Source organism: Homo sapiens, chromosome 3, assembly GCF_000001405.40.
Source record: "Homo sapiens chromosome 3, GRCh38.p14 Primary Assembly".
NCBI lineage: Eukaryota > Metazoa > Chordata > Mammalia > Primates > Hominidae > Homo > Homo sapiens.
This window is the reverse complement of record NC_000003.12, coordinates 41,681,360-41,701,385: the sequence shown is the minus strand read 5'-3', so window position 1 is coordinate 41,701,385 and position 20,026 is coordinate 41,681,360. Positions and strand designations below refer to the sequence as shown.

At 39.8% G+C, this 20,026-nt stretch overlaps 1 protein-coding gene across 6 annotated transcripts in view, besides 1 other annotated feature; it reads left to right on the top strand.

Moving 5' to 3' along the window:
- Positions 1–20,026, top strand: part of ULK4 (unc-51 like kinase 4) — a 715,505-nt gene that overhangs the window by 260,718 nt on the left and 434,761 nt on the right. For all 6 annotated transcript variants that reach the window (NR_136342.2, NM_001322501.2, NM_017886.4 and 3 more), the window contains 2 exons: positions 19,582–19,633; positions 19,734–19,878. Coding sequence is in view for 5 of the 6 variants with exons in the window: in NM_001322501.2 (NP_001309430.1) it covers positions 19,582–19,633; positions 19,734–19,878 (197 nt within the window). In the remaining variant the exon portion in view is untranslated. The remainder of the gene's footprint in view (positions 1–19,581; positions 19,634–19,733; positions 19,879–20,026) is intronic.
- Positions 5,304–5,487: a silencer, noted in NCBI's record as "fragment chr3:41737391-41737574 (GRCh37/hg19 assembly coordinates)". NCBI's record gives its function as "represses an EF-1alpha promoter that drives an FKBP-Casp9 reporter gene in an ReSE screen in HepG2 liver carcinoma cells {active_cell/tissue: HepG2}" and the evidence as "EXISTENCE:reporter gene assay evidence [ECO:0000049][PMID:32094911]".

The following is a 20,026-nucleotide window of genomic DNA, read 5'->3' as shown; positions in this document are numbered from 1 at the left end:
CTAATCTCAAGTTTTTCCTCAGAAGGAAATCTCTGTTTTTGTCCCTTGGGTCCTTCTAAAATGTTTTTTGGGGGAGGTGGTGTAGATTTGGTTTTCTGTAGATTCACTATGATGTAACTAAATATAAATTTCTTTTTTACTTATTCTGTTGAGGATTCTCTGTGCTGCTTGAATCTGTGGATTGTTCTTTTTCATCAGTCTTGAAAACTTTCTGCCATTATCTCTGCTTATTCTTTCTCTTGTTCTAGCTCCTTCAGCAAATCAGATCACATATACATTAAACTTTCTCATTTTTTTCTAATTCTTACTGTCTTTTTGTGTATTCCAGCTTTTTCTTTTTTAGTGTTATATTCTGAATGATTTTATTTCTTTTTTTTCCCCTGTCTTCTACTATGCCCCTTCTGCTGCCACATATAGCACGTTGAGTTTCTAATTTTGGTTATTTTTCATTTGTAGAAGTCTGTCATTGCTAGAAATTCTGCTTGTCTTTTTTATTTTCAAATCTGTATTGCTTTTTATGATTTCCTGTTCCCTGTAGATATTTTCTAGTGCGTGACTTATTTATTCATGTTTGTTAAATGTAGTTCTACAGTATATGTGGTAATTCTAATATCAGAAGACTATGAAAGTCATCTTTTGTCTGTGGTGTCTGTTATATCTTGTTGTTGCCCAAATCTTCCTGTTTTCTTGGAGGCCTGAGTATTGTTTATCCTTGCTGGTCATTGTCCCTGAAATCCATTAGCGGGCATTCCCTGAAATCAACTATGGATGTTCCTTCCTCCATAGCATGTTTCCTTCTGCCAGGCACCTAAGGGCTCTGCCAATTGGGACAGTACCTCAGATCAGCATCATTTGTACCCAGTGTGCAAATCCCTGATAATGTAGGTCTGAGATCATAACTTCCCAGGGCAGCCTCCTCAGTTGTCAGGAGTGTGAATGTGTGTGGAGGGGTTGGTGAATGAATCTAGTTTTTCCTTACTTAGAGAGTATAATCTCCTCTCTTCAGGTGCCCATTTCTGTGTAAGGTGACTCATAAAACTCTGTATGCTAGGAGGATGGGAGTGCAGGGGTCCCACTGATAACCTTTGTTTGTGTTGTTGCTAAGTGCTTCCTGGGCAGTCAGCTCCATGCTCTCATGGTCTCAACTCTCTGCCTCCGGTTTTCATCAGAAACTAGTCTGAAAGCTCCCCCTGTTTTCAGAGCTTAGGGTTTAGGGTCTTTATATTTTATCTGGCATTTTTCATTGTTTTCAGTAAGAATGTTAATCCAAGTAACAGTACCCACTATAACTAGGAACCTGTTTGTCATGGTCATTGTCACAGCAATGAATTCCAAGTCATCAAATAAGATATGACTTGCTGGGTCGTTACTTGTTGATTCTTTTGCCTAATGAGCAATAACCTATGGTTAATTTGTTAAGATCCAGTATTTATAAATATCTATTTTGCATTCAAATAGAAATTAATTTTCTAATCATATGAAATGCAAGCATACTAATTATTGTAACTACAGCGTCTATTAGAAGAGGTATTATTGCAACTTACTGGCTTCATAAAAATATTTTTTAATGATATAACTCATGAGAAATTTTCTAATTACCTCTTTTTGAGCATGACTGGAATACATGAAGATGAAGATCCAACACCCCAAGGAACATACTGTTGTTTGAAATGTTAGCACACATGATGTTCAAGGCTGCTGATCAATACTATATTGTATGGAAGTGGCTAAATGCATTTGATTCTTGCTGAGCACGAGCTCTTAATTCAGATTTTTCCCAGAGTTTTAGACCATTTAGCTCCTCAGAGTTGAAATCATCAATCTGGCCTATAGGACAGTGAGAAAGCCACGATTTGTTTTGTACAGCGAATTTGTTCCCCACTCATGGTGGTTTCGGAAAATATTATTAATAGCAAAGGGGAAATAAAGATGACTTCTTTATTAGAAAATTCTGGCTGCAGTATACATAATTTGATGAAAATATATTTCTATTTAACTTTAGAAAGTAAGCTAAGCCTTAATACATTTTAACGAAAAACCTATCCTTTTGTAAATTTTTCAGGGAAAGGCTGGAGGCTAATAAATAATGAATAATCTAGCTTTAAACCAGTTATTTGAGTTAATACTTAGTGTTGGTGGGGACATAGAGCAAATGGAACCCAGAAACACTACGCTCAGTGAGAGTGTACATTGGTACACCTACTCTGAAAAACTATTGGGCAGTAGCTACTAAAGCTGAACATATGCATATACTGTGACTCAGCAATTTTACTTCTAAATATATATTCAATAGAAATGAGCTAAAAGTGCTCATAGCTCCAAACTGGAAACCATCCAAATTCCCATCAACAGTCTATGGATGAGTACATTATGATATAGTCAAATGATGGAAAGCTCTTCCACAGAGAAAACAAATGATCTACAGTTACACTTAACGACATGGATAAATCTTAAAAATTTAATGTTGAGCTAAAGTTAACAAATACGAAATACCATGATTCCACTTGCAAAAAAGTTAAGAATAGACAAAACTATTCCAAGTCATGATAGTGGTTACCTTTGGGTGGTGACTGGTAGGTTGTGTCAAAGGGGGCTTCATAATGTTCCTTCATCTAGGTGCTACTTACGTGAGTATGTTCATATTGTGAAAATTATCTGAATTGTATACTTAGGATAAGTACATCTTTAGTTATCTTATTTGTGAATTAAAAATTTACATAAATATGAAAAAAGGTTTAGAACTTGGTAAAGGTAAGCCTATATACAGGTTGATTATCCCTTATCTGAAACACTTGGGACCAGAAGTGCTTCAGATTTTGGATGTTTTGGAGATTTTGAAATATTTGAATTTTTGGAATATTTGCATTATCCTTATTGGTTGAACATCCCTAATCTGAAAATCTGAAATTCTCTAATGAGCATTGCCTCTGAGCGTCATGTTGGTGCTCAAAAAGTTTCAAGCTGGGCATGGTGGCGAGATCCTATAGTCGCAGCTACTTGGGAGGCTGAGGTGGGAGAATAACTGGAGCCTAGGAGTTCAAGGCCAGCTTGGGCAATGTAGCTATAACCCCATTTCTAAAAAAGAGAAAAAAAAGTTTCAAATTTTAGAGCATTTCAGATTTTAGATTTTTGGATTAGGAATGCTCAGCTTGTATATACAGTCATGCCTTGCTTAAAGATGGAGATACATTCTGAAAAATGCCTTGTTTGGTGATTTTTTGGTTGTGCAAACACCATAGAATGTACTTACACCAACCTAGATGGTATAGCCCATTACACACCTAGGCTATATGGTATAGCCTATTGCTTCTAGGCTACAAACCTGTACAGCATGTTACTGCACTGAATATTGTAGGTGATTGTAACAAATGGTGAGTATACCAATAAAAGATGTGGTGAAAATACCGTATAAAGATAAATGTTACACCTTTATAAGATATTTACTATGAATGGAGCTTGCAGGACTGGAGTTGCTTTGAGTGAGTCAGTAGTGAGTGGTGAGTGAATCTGAAGGCCTAGGACATTACTATACACTACTGCAGACATGATCAACACTGTTCACTTAAGTTACATTAACTTTATTTAAAAATATTTTTTGGTCTGGCACAGAGGCTCACATCTTCACCTGTAATCTTAGCACTTTGGGAGACTGAGGCAGGAGAACCACTTGAGACCAGGAGTTCAAAGACCAACCTGGGCAACATAGCGAGACTCTATGCCTACAAAAAATTAAAAAAACAATTAACTGGGCATGGTGATGCATGCCTGTAGAAAAAAAATGTATTTTTCTTTCTTCAGTATTAAATTCTCTGTATCTTACTGTAACATTTTTACTTTATAAATTTCTAAAAACTTTTTGACTCTTTTGTAATGACACTCATTTTAAAACACACGTTGTACAGTTCTACAAAAATATTTTCTTTATGTCCTTATTTGATAAGCTTTTTTCTATTTTTGAAATTTTTAATTAATTTTTTTTATCCTTTCTAAACTTTTTTGTTAAAAATGAAGACAAAAACACACACAGTTAGTCTGGGCTTACTCAAGATCAGGATCATCAAGACATTGTCAGTAAGCAATAGGAATTTTTCAGCTCCATCATAATCTTAAGGGACCGTCATCGTACATGTGCTCTGTTGCTGACCGAAGCGTCATTGTGCCATGCATGACTGTATATATATATTTAAAGTTAACTGATATGAATAAGCATCTCTATCTTTTATTGGTGTGGATTCATATTCTATATTAGCTTTCTGTTGCTGCTGTAACAAATCACCACAAGCTTATTGGTTTAAAACAACACAAATTTATTATCTTACAGTTCTGGAGAGTCAGAAGCTTAAAATGAGTTTTGGGGCTAAAATGAAGGTGTCAGTATGGCTGTGTTCCTTCCAGAGGCTCTAAGGGAAGGATCTCCTTCCTTGCCTTTTCCAACTTCTTGAGGCCACCTGGATTCTTAGGCTTGTGGCCCCTTATTCCATCTTCAAAGCCAGCAGAGCAGCATCTTCAAATCTTTCTCTAACCTCTGCTTTTATTGTTACATCTTCTCTGACTCTGACCATCCTGTCACCCTTTAAGGATCCTTATTATTATATTGGACCCACCTGAATAATCCAAGATAACTCTCTCCTCTCAAGATCCTTAACCTCATCTGCAAATTCCCTTTTGCTATGTAAATAACAAATTTGAAGGTTCTGGAGATCAGGACTATAGGGACCAGCCCCACAGGGTCGGTGGGTTTTTCTTGCCGTGTGTGGAGGCAAGAGATTGTAGAAATAAAGACATAAGACAAAGAGATAAAAGACAGCTGGGCCCAGTGGACCACTACCACCAAGATGCGGAGACCAGTAATGGCCCCGAATGTCTGGCTGTGCTGTTATTTATTGGATACAAAGCAAAAGGGGCAGGGTAAAGAGTGTGAGTCATTTCCAATGATAGGTAAGGTCACGTGGGTCACGTGTCCACTGGACAGGGGGCCCTTCCCTGCCTGGCAGCCAAGGCAGAGAGAGAGAGGGAGAGAGAGAGACAGCTTACACCATTATTTCTGCATATCAGAAACTTTTAGTACTTTCACTAATTTTGCTACTGTTATCTAAAAGGCAGAGCCAGGTGTACAGGATGGAACATGAAGGTGGACTAGGAGCGTGACCACTGAAGCATAGCACCACAGGGAGATGGTTAGGCCTCTGGATAACTGCGGGTGGGCCTGACTCATGTCAGGCCTTCCACAAGAGGTGGAGGAGTAGAGTCTTTTCTAAACTCCCCCGGGGAAAGGGAGATTGCCTTTCCCGTTCCGCTAAGTAGTGGGTGTTTTTCCTTGACACTGAGGCTACTGCTAGACCACGGTCCGCTTGGCAGCGGGCGTCTTCCCAGACACTGGCGTTACCGCTAGACCAAGGAGCCCTCTGGTGGCCCTGTCCGGGTATAACAGAAGGCTCACACTCTTGTCTTCTGGTCACTTCTCACTATGTCCCCTCAGCTCCTATCTCTGTATGGCCTGGTTTTTCCTAGGTTATGATTATAGAGCGAGGATTATTATAATATTGGAATAAAGAGTAATTGCTACAAACTAATGATTAATGGTATTCATACGTAATCATGTCTATGGTCTAGATCTAGTATAACTCTTGTTGTTTTATATATTTTATTATACTGGAACAGCTCGTGGCCTCGGTCTCTTGCCTCGGCACCTGGATGGCTTGCCGCCCACACAGGACATGGCCATCTTTGGGCGGGCATCATTCAGTCTACCACAGATTCCTGTTTTTATCAATGACTTCATTACTATATTATTTTGGTGCTGATATTTTCCAGATTTGGCTAGTGTAAGCCTTTTCAGGTTGGCTTCTTTCAAGTGTCTTTGTGACATACTCTATTCTTTTTTGAATGCTACCTCATTTTATGTTACAACAAAATATTTTTTCCTCAGTTTGTTACTACTCTGCCCTAGCTATGAAATTAGTCATTTCTCTGAGGAGCTCCGGTTTTCTTTATTGGGAAATGGCATTAGAGACCAAGATGGGGCACGAAGTGTGCTCTTCTCTTCTGGGACACCTTAGCTTCTAGCCCTTCCAAGAAACAGTTAGGAAATATAAGCATGTATATGCATTGTGATGGTCCGAATGTATCCTCAAACTTCATATATTGAAACTTAATCCCCAATGTCATACTATTAAGAGGTGGGGACTTCAGGAGATGATTAGATCATGAGGGTTCCCCTCTCATGAATGGAATTAGTGTCCTTTAAAAGAACTTGAGGGAGTTGGTTTGGCCTTTGTACTTCTTCTGCCATGTGAGGACACAGCTAAAGGATGCCATCTTGGAAGCAGCCCTCACAAGACATTGAACCTGCTGGCACCGTGATCTTGGACTTCCCAGCCTCCTAAACTGTGAGAAACACATTTCTATTATTAAATTATGCAGTGTAAGGCATTTGTTATAGCAGCCTGAGTAGACTAACACATATGCGTATGAACACACATACATACCATATAGTCACAGACGGTTTGGCCCTCCATATCCACAGGTTCCACATCCTTGGATTCAACCAACAGCAGATAAAACATATTTGAAAAAAGATGAAAAATGATAATACAACAATAAAAATAATACAAATTTAAAAAATAGAGTATAACAACTATTTAGCTGGCACTTACATTGCATTAGATATTATAAGTCACCTAGAGATGATTTAAGGTATATGGGTGGTTGTGTGTAGTTTATATGCAAATACTAATGCTATTTTATATAAGGGACTTAAGGATCACTGGATTTTGGTATAGGGAAAGGGATTCTGGAACCAATCTCTCTCAGATACTGAGGCCCAACTATACTCAGCATTCCTTATGTGAACCTAGACTTCTCATCCCCCAGGTCAGATTGTCTGCCCTATCCCATCCTCCTTTTCTCTCTAGGCCATGTTCAAAACTAACTTCTGTGAGACTCCCCTCTACCCATCCAACAGAGTATGTCCCTCCCTGCTCTGGGGTCCATAGCTTTCTATACCTCCCTCCATAACAGTCCCTACGATGCTCCTACTCAATTATGTGTGGACACATTGTTCTGTCCCTGGAGCCAGTCCCCTGTGGATACTGAGGGACGGCTATACGTACTTACATACACGTGCCTATCTGCACACACATACATATTTGAAATCATGAGTTCACACTGCTATCTTTGTATCCAGTCCCCTACACAGTTCTTTCTTGCCATTGCCCGTTCTGTATTTGTGTGTCCCTTTGTGGAAGTTTTGGCTTCCAGCATCATCAGCACATTTTCTCATTTGCTAATCCTGTAATAAATTGTTATGGAATTGCTTCACTGAAACCAGTATCAAAACAAACCAAATGAGGTCACGATTTGTTTGCAGAATTCTTTGCCTTCCCAACCTCTTGTCATCTCCAAGCAACACTGGGAGTATATAGTCAATACTGTGTTCATAAGGTACTTGGATTAGCTCCCTTCCCCACTCCTAGTGTGGTTATAATATTCGTTTGAAGTACAGTTGATTTGTCTCCATTTGCTTTCAATTTTAGGTTTTCTTTTTCTCCTTCCTCTTTTGTTGCTTCTAATTTTTAAAATATGTAGAGCATGAATGTGCTTCCAAAAGAGTTAAAACTATAGAAAAAGATATATTCAGAGCAGTGTCACTCCCTTCCCTGAAATATATATCCCTCCTACTCCATTGCCATTCCATCATACTCTCATTACTCTTGTAGATAAACAGCTTCATTGTTTTCTGGTTTGTCCTTTTAATATTTCTTTCTGTAGAGTGGGCATGTGTTTTCTTATTTTTCCTTCTTATACTGAATGTAACATACTATATATGTTCTTTTGCATTTTGCCTTTTCATTTAATAATGAGTGTTAGAAATTACTCCATATCAGTTCTTAGAGATTTTTCTCACTCTTTATTAAGACAAGTTTAGTATTCCACCAATGTTTGGCCCACTAGGTAGTTGCTAATATTTGTAATTATAAGCAATAAATAACCTTGTTCATATTTAGTTTCCTATTGTTGTAGGTGTATCTTCAGGGTAAATTGCGATTTACTGGTTTAATCGCTAGAAGAGTGATTTTGGGATCAAAGAGTAAATGCACTTGTACTTCTGTTAGATACTGCCAGAATCCCTTATATAGGCTTTTACCATTTTTCTTTCTCACCAGCAATGCATGAGAATGCTAGTTTCGACACAGTCTTCCCAATAGTGTGTTACCAACCTAATGTGGCCATGGGAATTCCTTAACATTTTTATAGCTGTTTAATATTGTAAAGAAGATTTAAACAAAGCATCATCTTGGGCAACAATAACTTTAAGAACAAGTAAAATAAGGTTTAGTGATGCAAGTGTTATTTATGAATTTCCAATGCATTTACTATTATTTAGCTTAAATGTCCCAGAGCTGTCTTAGCATTCCTAAGTCACAGACATTGATTTCATTTGGGACATACCATTGAGAATCATTAACATGCAGAGAAACTGACATACACAGAAGCTAATGTGCATATGTATTCACACATTTTTAAAAAAATGGGTGGGGGTCCTAGTTTTTGAGCAACGAAATAAAAGTCACCAGACTTAGGAATTTCCATTTTCAAAAAGTTCAGTAGGTCTCTGCTTTCAGAGCACATTGTCAAATGAACTTTAGCACAAGTGAATGTCTTTAAGAAATCAATATTACTAGTATTAATTATTAAAATTCCTTGGATTATTCCATATATTATCCCTACACTAAAATAAATAATGACTGATAGAATTTTATAATAGAGATCACTGGTACAGAGGAGCTTGATTAGGGTGCAATGGTATTTATTTTAATACCATTAAATATATATTATATATGTCATAAAATATGTAGCATATAGTAGTATATATAAATATATAACGTATATGTATAAATTCTGTGGAAGATTCTGGAAGGGCAGAACATTGGTGAGCAAATTATCCAACTCCACAGCAGCAAAAAGGTACTCATTGTCTATTGTCTCAATGATTCAGTCTCTATTTTAATAAGGTGACCCCGTACCAGTGAGCAAAGCCATGCCCACTCAAAGGTTTAGAACATGTTTGCTGTCATATACTGTGTCAGATTGTGTCGTCGTGGTTTTCTCACTATGAATTAGAAGTGATTTAATGGGCCGGCGCGGTGGCTCACGCCTGTAATCCCAGCACTTTGGGAGGCCGAGGCGGGCAGATCACGAGGTCAGGAGATCGAGACGATCCTGGCTAACACGGTGAAACTCCGTCTCTACTAAAAATACAAAAAATTAGCCGGGGGCGGTGGTGGGCGCCTGTAGTCCCAGCCACTTGGGAGGCTGAGGCAGGAGAATGGCGTGAACCCAGGAGGCAGAGCTTGCAGTGAGCTGAGATCGCACTACTGCACTCCAGCCTGGGTGAAAGAGCGAGACTCAGTCTCAAAAAAAAAAAAAAAAAAAAAAAAAAGAAGTGATTTGATGAAGATAATTTTTAGGGCTTTGTCCTTTTTTGTTGTTGTTCTTTATTGTCTTGCTGCATTGTTGCTGTTTGGTGTTGGGTTGTCATTAAAGCGTACAATTTTAATTTGATTTCTCAAAATGCAGATTGAGGTTCATCATGTATCAGACTGCACTCTCCAAACATCCTGTAACATGATTAATCAATAAGTGTAGTATTAACTCATTCTTTGTGTTGGTGTGTTAACGGGTTTGAAATTTCTCAGGTCCTAAGACAATTTAGCCACTACTTTAGATAAAAATCAATGGATGTTAAAGGAAATAAATAAATAGATAATACTGTTTAAAATGGATATTTGGAAGAGAGAATTTCCCATCTTTGGGGGAGGTATTGTTAGTGGTGGCAAATCCGTATGGGTCTGCCACAGTTTCAGTTCTTGCCTCCTCAGAAGAAAGAATTTGACTCGGGGGCATAGGCAGACTCAAGGCAAGTTTTAGAGCAGGAGTGAAAGTTTATTTAAAAGTTTTATAGCAGGAACAAAAGGAAGTAAAGTACAGTTGGAAGAGGGCCAAGTGGGCAACTTGAGAGACTCAAGTTTGTGGTTTGACCTTGGACTTGGGGCTTTATATGTTGGCATGCTTCCAGGGTCTGCATCTCTTTCCCCCTGATGCTTCCCTTGGGGTGGGTTGTTCGTATGTGCAGGGGCCTCCAGAACTTGGCAGGGGCTGCATGTGCACTGTGTTTACTGGAGTTATACACATGCTCACTTGAGGCAGTTCTTCCTTTACCACTAGAATGTTCCTAGAAGGTCATATACCAAACTCTGCCATTTTGCCTCTTAGTGCACATGTTGAGCCCAGTCACCTAACTCCTTAGATCTTACGAGGAAGCTTCTGATCACCAGTTTCAGGTGTTTCTATCTAGGGAGACTGCCTTTCCCTAGCACTGACTGTGACCAATAATTTTAGAGAGACAGTTAACAACCGCCTATCACCTGATGTTGCCTGATGTTCCTGGTTGGGGTGGGGTGCCCTCTCCTGCCCTGCTCATGTCTGCCTGACTACCTGCTATAACATTATGAGCTTGGATTATGAGGGAAGTACCCCCCTTTTGCATATAGGTGCTCTGTCCTGGAAAGGTGGTCTGGTTGAAGACAGAAAAGCAGTTACCTGGAAACATATGCCTGGCCTTTCTATAACTATGAGGCCATGGATGGTCTGTATTGAGCTTCTCTTTCTTTTGTAGGTAGGACTGGGGAGTGGCGTAGAACCCTGGATGAAGAAAGGGGATGGGGGTAGCAGAGTAGCTAAAATTTGTCTGCATAAGAAATAAAAATGTATTGGTTGGTGGGAGAGCTAAGAAAAGAGGAAAGGAGGCAGAAACAAAGAGGAGGGCTGCCTAGAAGCCAAAAAGTTAGGCAGCAGAATAGGAGCCCAGAGCTTGTGAAGGAAGAAGGCCTGTGAGAAAAGTTTTTTTTTTCTTTTTTAAAAATTATTATTATTTTTTAATTTTATTATTATTATACTTTAGGGTACATGTGCACAATGTGCAGGTTAGTTACATATGTATACATGTGCCATGCTGGTGTGCTGCACCCATTAACTCGTCATTTAGCATTAGGTATATCTCCTAAAGCTATCCCTCCCCACTCCCCCTACCCCACAACAGTCCCCGGAGTGTGATGTTCCCCTTCCTGTGTCCATGTGTTCTCATTGTTCAGTTCCCACCTATGAGTGAGAATATGCGGTGTTTGGTTTTTTGTTCTTGCGATAGTTTACTGAGAATGATGATTTCCAATTTCATCCATGTCCCTACAAAGGACATGAACTCATCATTTTTTATGGCTGCATAGTATTCCATGGTGTATATGTGCCACATTTTCTTAATCCAGTCTATCATTGTTGGACATTTGGGTTGGTTCCAAGTCTTTGCTATTGTGAATAGTGCCGCAGTAAACATACGTGTGCATGTGTCTTTATAGCAGCATGATTTATAATCCTTTGGGTATATACCCAGTAATGGGATGGCTGGGTCAAATGGTATTTCTAGTTCTAGATCCCTGAGGAATCGCCACACTGACTTCCACAATGGTTGAACTAGTTTACAGTCCCACCAACAGTGTAAAAGTGTTCCTATTTCTCCACCTCCTCTCCAGCACCTGTTGTTTCCTGACTTTTTAATGATCACCATTCTAACTGGTGTGAGATGGTATCTCATTGTGGTATTGATTTGCATTTCTCTGATAGCCAGTGATGGTGAGCATTTTTTCATGTGTGTTTTAGCTGCATAAATGTCTTCTTTTGAGAAGTGTGTATTCATGTCCTTTGCCCACTTTTTGATGGGGTTGTTTGTTTTTTTCTTGTAAATTTGTTTGAGTTCATTGTAGATGCTGGATATTAGCCCTTTGTCAGATGAGTAGGTTGCGAAAATTTTCTCCCATTTTGTAGGTTGCCTGTCCAGTCTGATGGTAGTTTCTTTTGCTGTGCAGAGAAAAGTTAAAGTTGCAAGTGATTGAAGATGATTAAAAACAGATATACTTCAATTTTAAATTGTTGGTGTTGCTGCTATAAACCCTCCATTACTCCAGACTCTCAATAAAGTCTGGTATACATACCAAGAATTTGTGAGTCTTCTAAATTTAATTATTAAAAAGGGGCTATATTCTATGACTTACACTGGTGGGTAGAAATCAACAAAGACCAACCAAATGAGAACAAACAGGTTGTTTTTTCAGAGTTGCTATGGCAAAGAAGTTGGCCAACATCACTAGCATTTGGCAGAGACTTAAAGGCAAGGAGGGGAGTGGGAGAAGGAAGACTTCAGGTGTGCCCTGATTGGAGGCTATTTGGCAGGGGAAACTGGAAGTGGGCTCATTAGAAGCAGGACATCCTATGTGATTGGTTCGGGGAACATTTTTGGCTTTCTCTAGTCGGCCCTAAGTTGGAAGAGTACAAAAAATACTGAAGCTGACAGTTGTTGACTAAATCCTAACCATCCCAGGCTAATGGCTACAGAGGTTGTGGTTTTGGCTTCCCTACTGGTTCCTGTAGAGGTTGTGGGTTAGAGTTCTATTGTCTTATATAGTCTGGCTACCACCAGTATATTCAGGCTTCCAGAAGCAAATAGCAGTTAGGAGAAGGTAAAAAGCAGATAAGTGAGGTAGAAACTCAGAGTTGGCAGTGAATCATGGGAAAGTAAATAAACCTCTGCAAATTCCCAGAAATCTTGGAAAGGACACTAAATTGCTTAATAGCACACAGGGCTGACGGTTTTATTTGAAACTCGAAGTTTAGGGTGACCTCAGCTGATAACTAGGATACAAAAACAAATCAGATTTTGTTTTGTTTTGTTCTAAAGAAATTGACATTCTGTACCACAAACAAATACTTTTATAAGTTCAAATCTTTTAAAAAATACCTTATTTATACAAAAATAGTATGAATAGAGTTATAGCAGTGATGTAAAAAGTGGCCCCAAGAAAACTTTTTAGCTATTTGGTTTACTCATATATTCTTAGTAAGTACCTTTGATAAACCATCTATTTGTTTGTTTATTCATTTTTTAGGGATGGGGGTTCCACTATGTGGCTCAGGCTGGTCTCAAACTCCTGGGCTCAAGCGATTCTCCCACCTCGGCCTCCTAAGTAGCTGAGGCTACAGGTGTGAGCCACCATGCTTGGCTATACCATCTTTGAGAAAGTAGTGAGCCAGATTCAGGTCCTACTCTGAATGGCTCCTCTGTGGTGTCAGGGGAGGGGGTGGGATGAGGATGGAGGGGATGACCAATATTGGAGCACAGTTTGAAGAGTGCTTTATTGGTGTTGTACACCGTGCATGCTGGGAGCCCTATTTAGTCTGACAGAGTCTGGAGATGATCTTAAGAGGAGGAAGTTCTTGACGTAAGTCTTGAAGGCAAGTAGATGTTAACTTCCGGGTGGGGAGTGGGTGTTGTAGGCAGAAAGAATCATGTTTGCGTCCACCTCCCTTCAACTTAGCTTCGGGTTGAGAGTCCACCCATTCCCCCAGCCCTTGTGGGAGAGATGTTTAAGAAAGGAGCCTTGCCTGGGCTGTCCCAGCCTCAACATGCACTTGGGAGCTGGTGGGAAGGATGGTTTACCTGTCAAGTACATTATCAGGAATATAGCCTTCAGGGGTGTTTGGTTAGCATTTGAAACACCCTGATCAGGAGTTCTTATTTGGAAGTGTCTTTATCTTGATGACCCTTTTGTTAGAAAGATGTTTTTCCTTTGGTGAAATTAGTCTTTTTTCAAGACATGGGGATTGGCTAGAAATATTGTACAGGTGCCTCACCCTTATATCCTTATATGGGAAGGCACAGGAATCTAGTCAACCCAGCAGAGTGGTTTTCTTGACATTGGACACTGATTTGTTCATAACTTTATTTCATTGAGTTTCTGCTGCCGCATTCTGACTACACTTAAGGAAATTTAACCTTGTGCCTTAAAGATCTTTGTATCTTGGAAGCCTTTGGTAGTCTGATGAGGCCTATTGATGCATTCTCAGAATGATGATTTTATTATTTATTATTTAAATTTGTTTAATTAATTTTTTTTTTTTTCTTGAGATGGAGTCTCTCTTCATCGCCAGACTGGAGTGCAGTGGTGTGATCTTGGCACACGGCAACCTCTGCTTCCTGGGTTCAAGTGATTCTCCTGCTTCAGCCTCCTGAGTAGCTGGGACTACAGGCGTGCGCCACCATACCCAGCTAATTTTTGTATTTTTAGTAGATACGGGGTTTCACCATGTTGGCCAGGATGGTCTTGATCTCTTGACCTCGTGATCTGCCCACCTTGGCCTCCCAAAGTGCTGGGATTACAGGCATGAACCACTACGCCCAGCCTAAATAATTTTTTTAGACAGAGTCTTTTGTCGCCCAGGCTGGAGTGCAGTGGTGCACTCATAGCTCACTGTAACCTCGAATTCCTGGGCTCAAGCTATCCTCCCACCTCACACTCCCAAAGTGCTGGGATTATAGGCATGAGCCACTGTGCCTAGCCTCAGAATGATGTTTTTAAATGCAGAAAATAAATAAAATGCATACAGTTCTTTAGAAAACTGTATGTATTGAAATATAAAAATATTTTTTTAAAAAGAACACATTTTTCCTGATGCTGGGCCCAGGTAGTCATACTTAACTGTGTTTCCAAGAGCTCCTTTCTGTTCTTGCCCAGCTCTGCCACCTCACTTTGAGTACCCTTGGAGCCGTTCTCTCTTATTTTACAGTAGTCCTCCTCTGTGAGTGTGACCTCCAGGGATTTGGGGCCAGAGGCTGAGGCTAGAACTTTTCCTATGTCATCTTGAGCAAATCTTTTCTTTTAATTTCAAGTTATTTTCTTATCTTTGTCTGGTATCCTCTGGATTATTATCTAGATGACTTTTAATTTTCATCTGTACGTTTTCAAATTAATGTAAAAGTAAGTTACTCTAAATATCTTACACACACACACACATAAAAGACCCAAGTCATCAAATTAGAGGCTCTAATTTAGGCCTCTAAATCTAACTCTTCGTAACTATTTGTTTCTGGTGATTAAACACAAAGGCAACAGCAATGACAATAACACGTACTTCCTTCCTCTTCCAAGAAACCCTGGCTTTTCTACATATCCCTATTTATGTACTGTTGGTTATTTTATATTTGTGTATATACATATTTATAAATTGAGTCTTTTTTTCCTAGCCCTTAGTAGCTATTAAGTTTTGATAGTGGCAGTGACAAAATCCCTTTATCTACATACTGTGTCAGCTCATCTCAATAGTTACTTTCATGTTTGTTTGCTTTTTCTTTGTTGTATGGTTGGTTGTGATGATTTCCAAGCTGTTTACACGTTGGTCTAGAACCCAGAAGTCCATCAATGACTATAGTACCTGTAAATATGTTCATATACATATACACATACACATATATGCAGATATACATTTATATCCATATATATATTCTTGCTAAGATCACGATATTCCTGTTGTAAATTAAATATTTTTTGAATTATGTTATTCAATTGGTTGTTGTAGGTACATATAAATGTTACTGACCATGGTCCTTGGGCTCTCAGTGCAATAGAAATTGACATGAGGCCAAAAGAGTTTTCCCATACAAGGCTTCACTGGAGCTTATGCCCGGGCATAAAGGAAGCATCATGAGAGAGAGAGAGAATTCCCAGACAGACTCTCTGAAGAGCTGGTTGGAAATTTTTATTAGTCAAAACATACGAATTGATAAATAGGATAGGGTATGCAGTCTGGGCTGGGCAAAGAATGTGAAGGGTAGGTATGCAGGTCAGCACAACTGGTTGCGATGTTATCTTGAGAAATGGGCCACCTGGTGGTCTGGCCAATGGCAACAAGGCTGCCATTCCTTCCTGTGGTGGAACACTCTACAATCTTGGTTTATTTTGGATCTCCTAAGGACAGTTCTTGGAATGCCTTAAGTAAAAGGCATGGTTAAACATTATGGGAGCATAGAAGAACAACAGAGTATGACTAAAGCCTTGGGATTAGTGGGTAAGACATCAGTGAGGTAGTGGTATGGGTTTTGTGATCAGTGGGAATGTATTAAAGAATGCTCTGGTGAGGGTGAGCTGAAGCCAAGCCCCATTGCTACTCTGTCTCATTCCCTGCTGAGAAACTTCACCTTCTTTATGCTTAAGGAGAAAGGGCCGAAGATCTCATCTTCAGAAGCTACTTCCTGCTGAACAAGTTATTGTCCTTGCCTAACCTTTTAGGGCAAGCAGTCTTTACAGGATTTATAATCACCTCAAAGGTAGATCAGAGAAAGGAAAATTCAAGACAGGAAGTCAGAAGTTGTTCATGGAGGGGAAAATAATAAATGGCAAAGGTCACACAAATATAAAACCAGAAAGTACTATTCCCTGTGCCAGGTATTGAACCCAGGCAGCCATTGTGAAAAGGCAAAGCCTTAGCTACTGAGCTACAGCATGAGGCAGTTGTCATTGGTCTTCCCAGAAGGAAACTAGAGTAGCCATTTTCAAGCTTGCTAGGAATTTCAGCTGCTCAAGATAATTTGTAAGGTTAGCCACGACATTCTTATGCATCCTTCTTTTAATTTAAACCTTTTAAAAAATTGTTGAGAATAAGAAAAGTGCTTTTCTTTTAATGATGAAATTAGTTTCAATAGCTACTCAATCCAAAAGCCCTTTAAGGCTCAGATGGTAATTTTTCAGGTTTTTATAATATAAGCAAATGGTATTTCTAGAGAGGGGGTAGAGGAGGCATCTCCATGGTCCCCAAGAATTTACTCTCAGGAATAGATTTAAGATAGCAAAAGATGACAAAAGCCCCTTGGGGTGGGACCTTTTAAGACAGAACTCATCCCCAAGTGCTTGACACGTTTGGGACAAAGAACGTGTGCTTATGTGTCTCAGTCTCCAGGTCCTTTCAGACTGGCTACCTGACATGAGCCTCGGAATTCCCACCTTCTGGATGCTAGATAGCAAGAGAGGGTACCCCACCATGGTCATAAGGTCAAGCTCTCAAAGACATAAAATAAGATGAAAGGGAAACCTCGTCCAGTTTTTGTTTCAAGGACCTGCAGCAACGTTTGTAACTGACAAGTCTGCCAAACAGCAGGCTTATAGGGGTCATAGACCTTGAGACAAACAATTATCTTTACCATTTCACTCAACTGGTGTGCACAGAGAAGCAGGTCAGAAGCCTGGCTGGTAAGAAATCCTTAACCTTTTGCTCGCATGCCAGATTTCTGGGTTGCCTTTCTGTGTAGCTTCCGTAAGAGCAAAGCAGCTGTTGATGACTCTTCTCACTGCAGCACAGCTGTGGGGGCCAAGCTGCATTACAAGAGAAAGTCATCTTTTTTCCATTTTTTGGTGGAAGCGTAGGTAAATCCTCTTCTCTTTGCAAGAAGTCATCCAACAGTCTGCATGGGGCAATCAGATGTCAAGTTAAACACACAAGAAGGAAAAATGGATCAGGACGTGAGTGACGCAAACTGTGGACCCACGTGCTATCAGTCCTCTCTTCACAAAGATAGCACCCAGGGTCTGTAGGCTTGCATGCTTGAATAGACAGACGACAAAGTCCACAGCCTTCCCTTTCCCACAAGGCGTGGCAAAGGGAGGGAATGTACTTAAAGAATATTACAGATTCCAGTGCCAGACAGAGTTTCCTACCAGCTGAACTGAATGACTGTTTTTGCCTATGCTGCGTGGGTGTCTATTGAGGTTGAACCAGTGCCACATGGGTGTCTACTGAGGCTGAATCAGTGCCACACGGGTGTCTTCAGACTGAGTCAATTAAGTTAATGAAAAGCGAAGGAAGGGAAGGAAAAAGGAAGAAGAAAGAAAAAGAAAGACCCAACAAATAGAAGACCAGGAGGGAAGGAAAAGCATTGTCTGGGGTGGGTTGTGAGGGGTCACAGGGAGGCTGGAGGAAAAACTCACCAGTTGTAGCAGTGCTGAATCAAAACTTCAGGTGGCCTTCCATCAGTCACGGAGGGGTCACGTCCAGCTGTCCTGCTGGCTCACATGCCTCCCTCCACAGAGGAGAAAAAAGCACCCCATGTCTGGTGATCGCAGACAAGCCCTGAATGAATATGTTACTGACCATGAGTTCTTGGGCTCTCAATGCAATAGGACATGAGGCCGACAGAGTTCTCCCAGACGAGGCTTCATTGGAGCCTCCTGAGGTGGTACACTCCACAACTTTGGTTTGATAGTTTGGGTCTCGTAAGGCCAGTTCCTGGAATTCTTTAAGTAAAAGCCACGGTTAAACATTTTGAGAGCTCAGTGGAACAATATAGCATGACTAAAGCCTTGGGGTTAGCGGGTATGGCATCAGTGAGGTACTGGTGTGGGTTTTGTGATCACTGGGAATGTATGAAAGAATGCTGTAGCAGGGATGAGCTGGAGCCAAGCCTCATTCCTACTCTGTCTCATAAATACTGTTGATTTTTCTGTATTCATCTTCTGACAAGCTTGCTTTTTTGGCCATGTTTATTCGTTTTTAAATTTCTAGAGATGGGCACTTAGATCGTTTGTTTCAGTCTTACTCCTCTCCTGATATACACTATTCAACCTTTAAGATAGCTGTTGATCATGTTGGTAGTATTGATAGCAGTATATATTTCTTTCCTTTGCATAGTTTTTTCTTTAGACATAACTGGAAGTTTGGAGTTCTCAAAGTACCTTGGTGAAGCATGATATCTGTGCTTTCAGTGATGTGACATCACTTAGTGGAAGAGGGTGAAGAAAACACCCCTGGTTCTTAGGGTCCTTGTAAAAATATTGAGATATACTGTCACATATAAATTTCCTATGTCAAGTGGAGATAGAATATGTTAATACTGATGGGCCACCAGCCACATATGGAGATTCTTGCCTGTGCAGGGCGTTGTTTTGTTGGTATGGACGGCAAGATGTCGTTTGGCTGTGCACAGATTCTCCTGCTCTTTTATCAGTATAGAGAGAACAAGTACACAAACAATGGGAATTTTGTTTATTGTCACTAAAATAGTTCATCAAATGAAACAGTAGTTTTCATCATTAGACTGGAGTAGGGATTCTTTCTTTTTTGGTATTTTGGAGGAAAATACTTGTTTTTTGGGGTTAAGTTTTAAACCATATTTGATTGTTCTCTGATACAACTAGGAACTCACAGGGGTGGTTTGTATAGTGGATTTACATCTTTGTGGTCTATTTCTAAAAATAACCAAGACGAACTTGTCATAGTTATTTGATGTATTTGATAAAACATGGGGACTATTGTGTCTTTTTTTTCCCAACATTTTGATTGTTGTTTAGGTTAAACTTGATGTAATGATCACCAGCTTATACATACTAATTTGATGGTTTAATGCCAACCTGTGCCAACTAGATTTTGCATTATATTCTAAAGTTCCTTTCATAGACCCTGAAGGTTTTGATAAATTACTGTTTTGATTTTCATAATGTCATTTTGACCTGAGGACTTTTTTAGATTTAAATGAGCTTGGTGGTTTATTAAATGTCATGGAGAGTTTAAATCCAGGATAAACTTAGCCGTTGCTTTTTTTCACTCCTTTGATTAGGGATTCTGTCTGTGGAAAAAATATAGATAGTGGTTGATATCAGTTTTGTGTTCATAGAGATTCTGAGTCTTTTACATGCTTTCTTTTAGGTTGTTGACTATATACTGCCACCCTTGGTGTCCTTGGTTCAAAGCCAAAATGGTAAGTGTGATGACACCAGCAAGAATTGCATCAGTTACACATTCTATTTTCATTCTGTCTCCATGGAGTCACATTCTTGGCATTTTTTTTTTCTTTCAAGTGGAGTGGAGACTCTTTAGCTTGCGGTTGCTCTCAGAAACCACATCTCTACTCGTGAACCAGGAGTTTGGGGATGGCAAGGAGAAGGCCAGTGTTGATTCTGACAGCAATCTTCTGGCTCTCATTCGAGATGTCTTACTTCCCCAGTAAGTATCATGCAGTTGTATTCATGCAGAGAAGTGTAGGCTATCCAGGAAGCTTCTGTCAAACTAGGTTCAGTGATGGGGTTGGGGTCTTGATGTCCTTATGTTTATACACATATGCTTGTGTACTCATTATAAAAAAAGTTTAGAC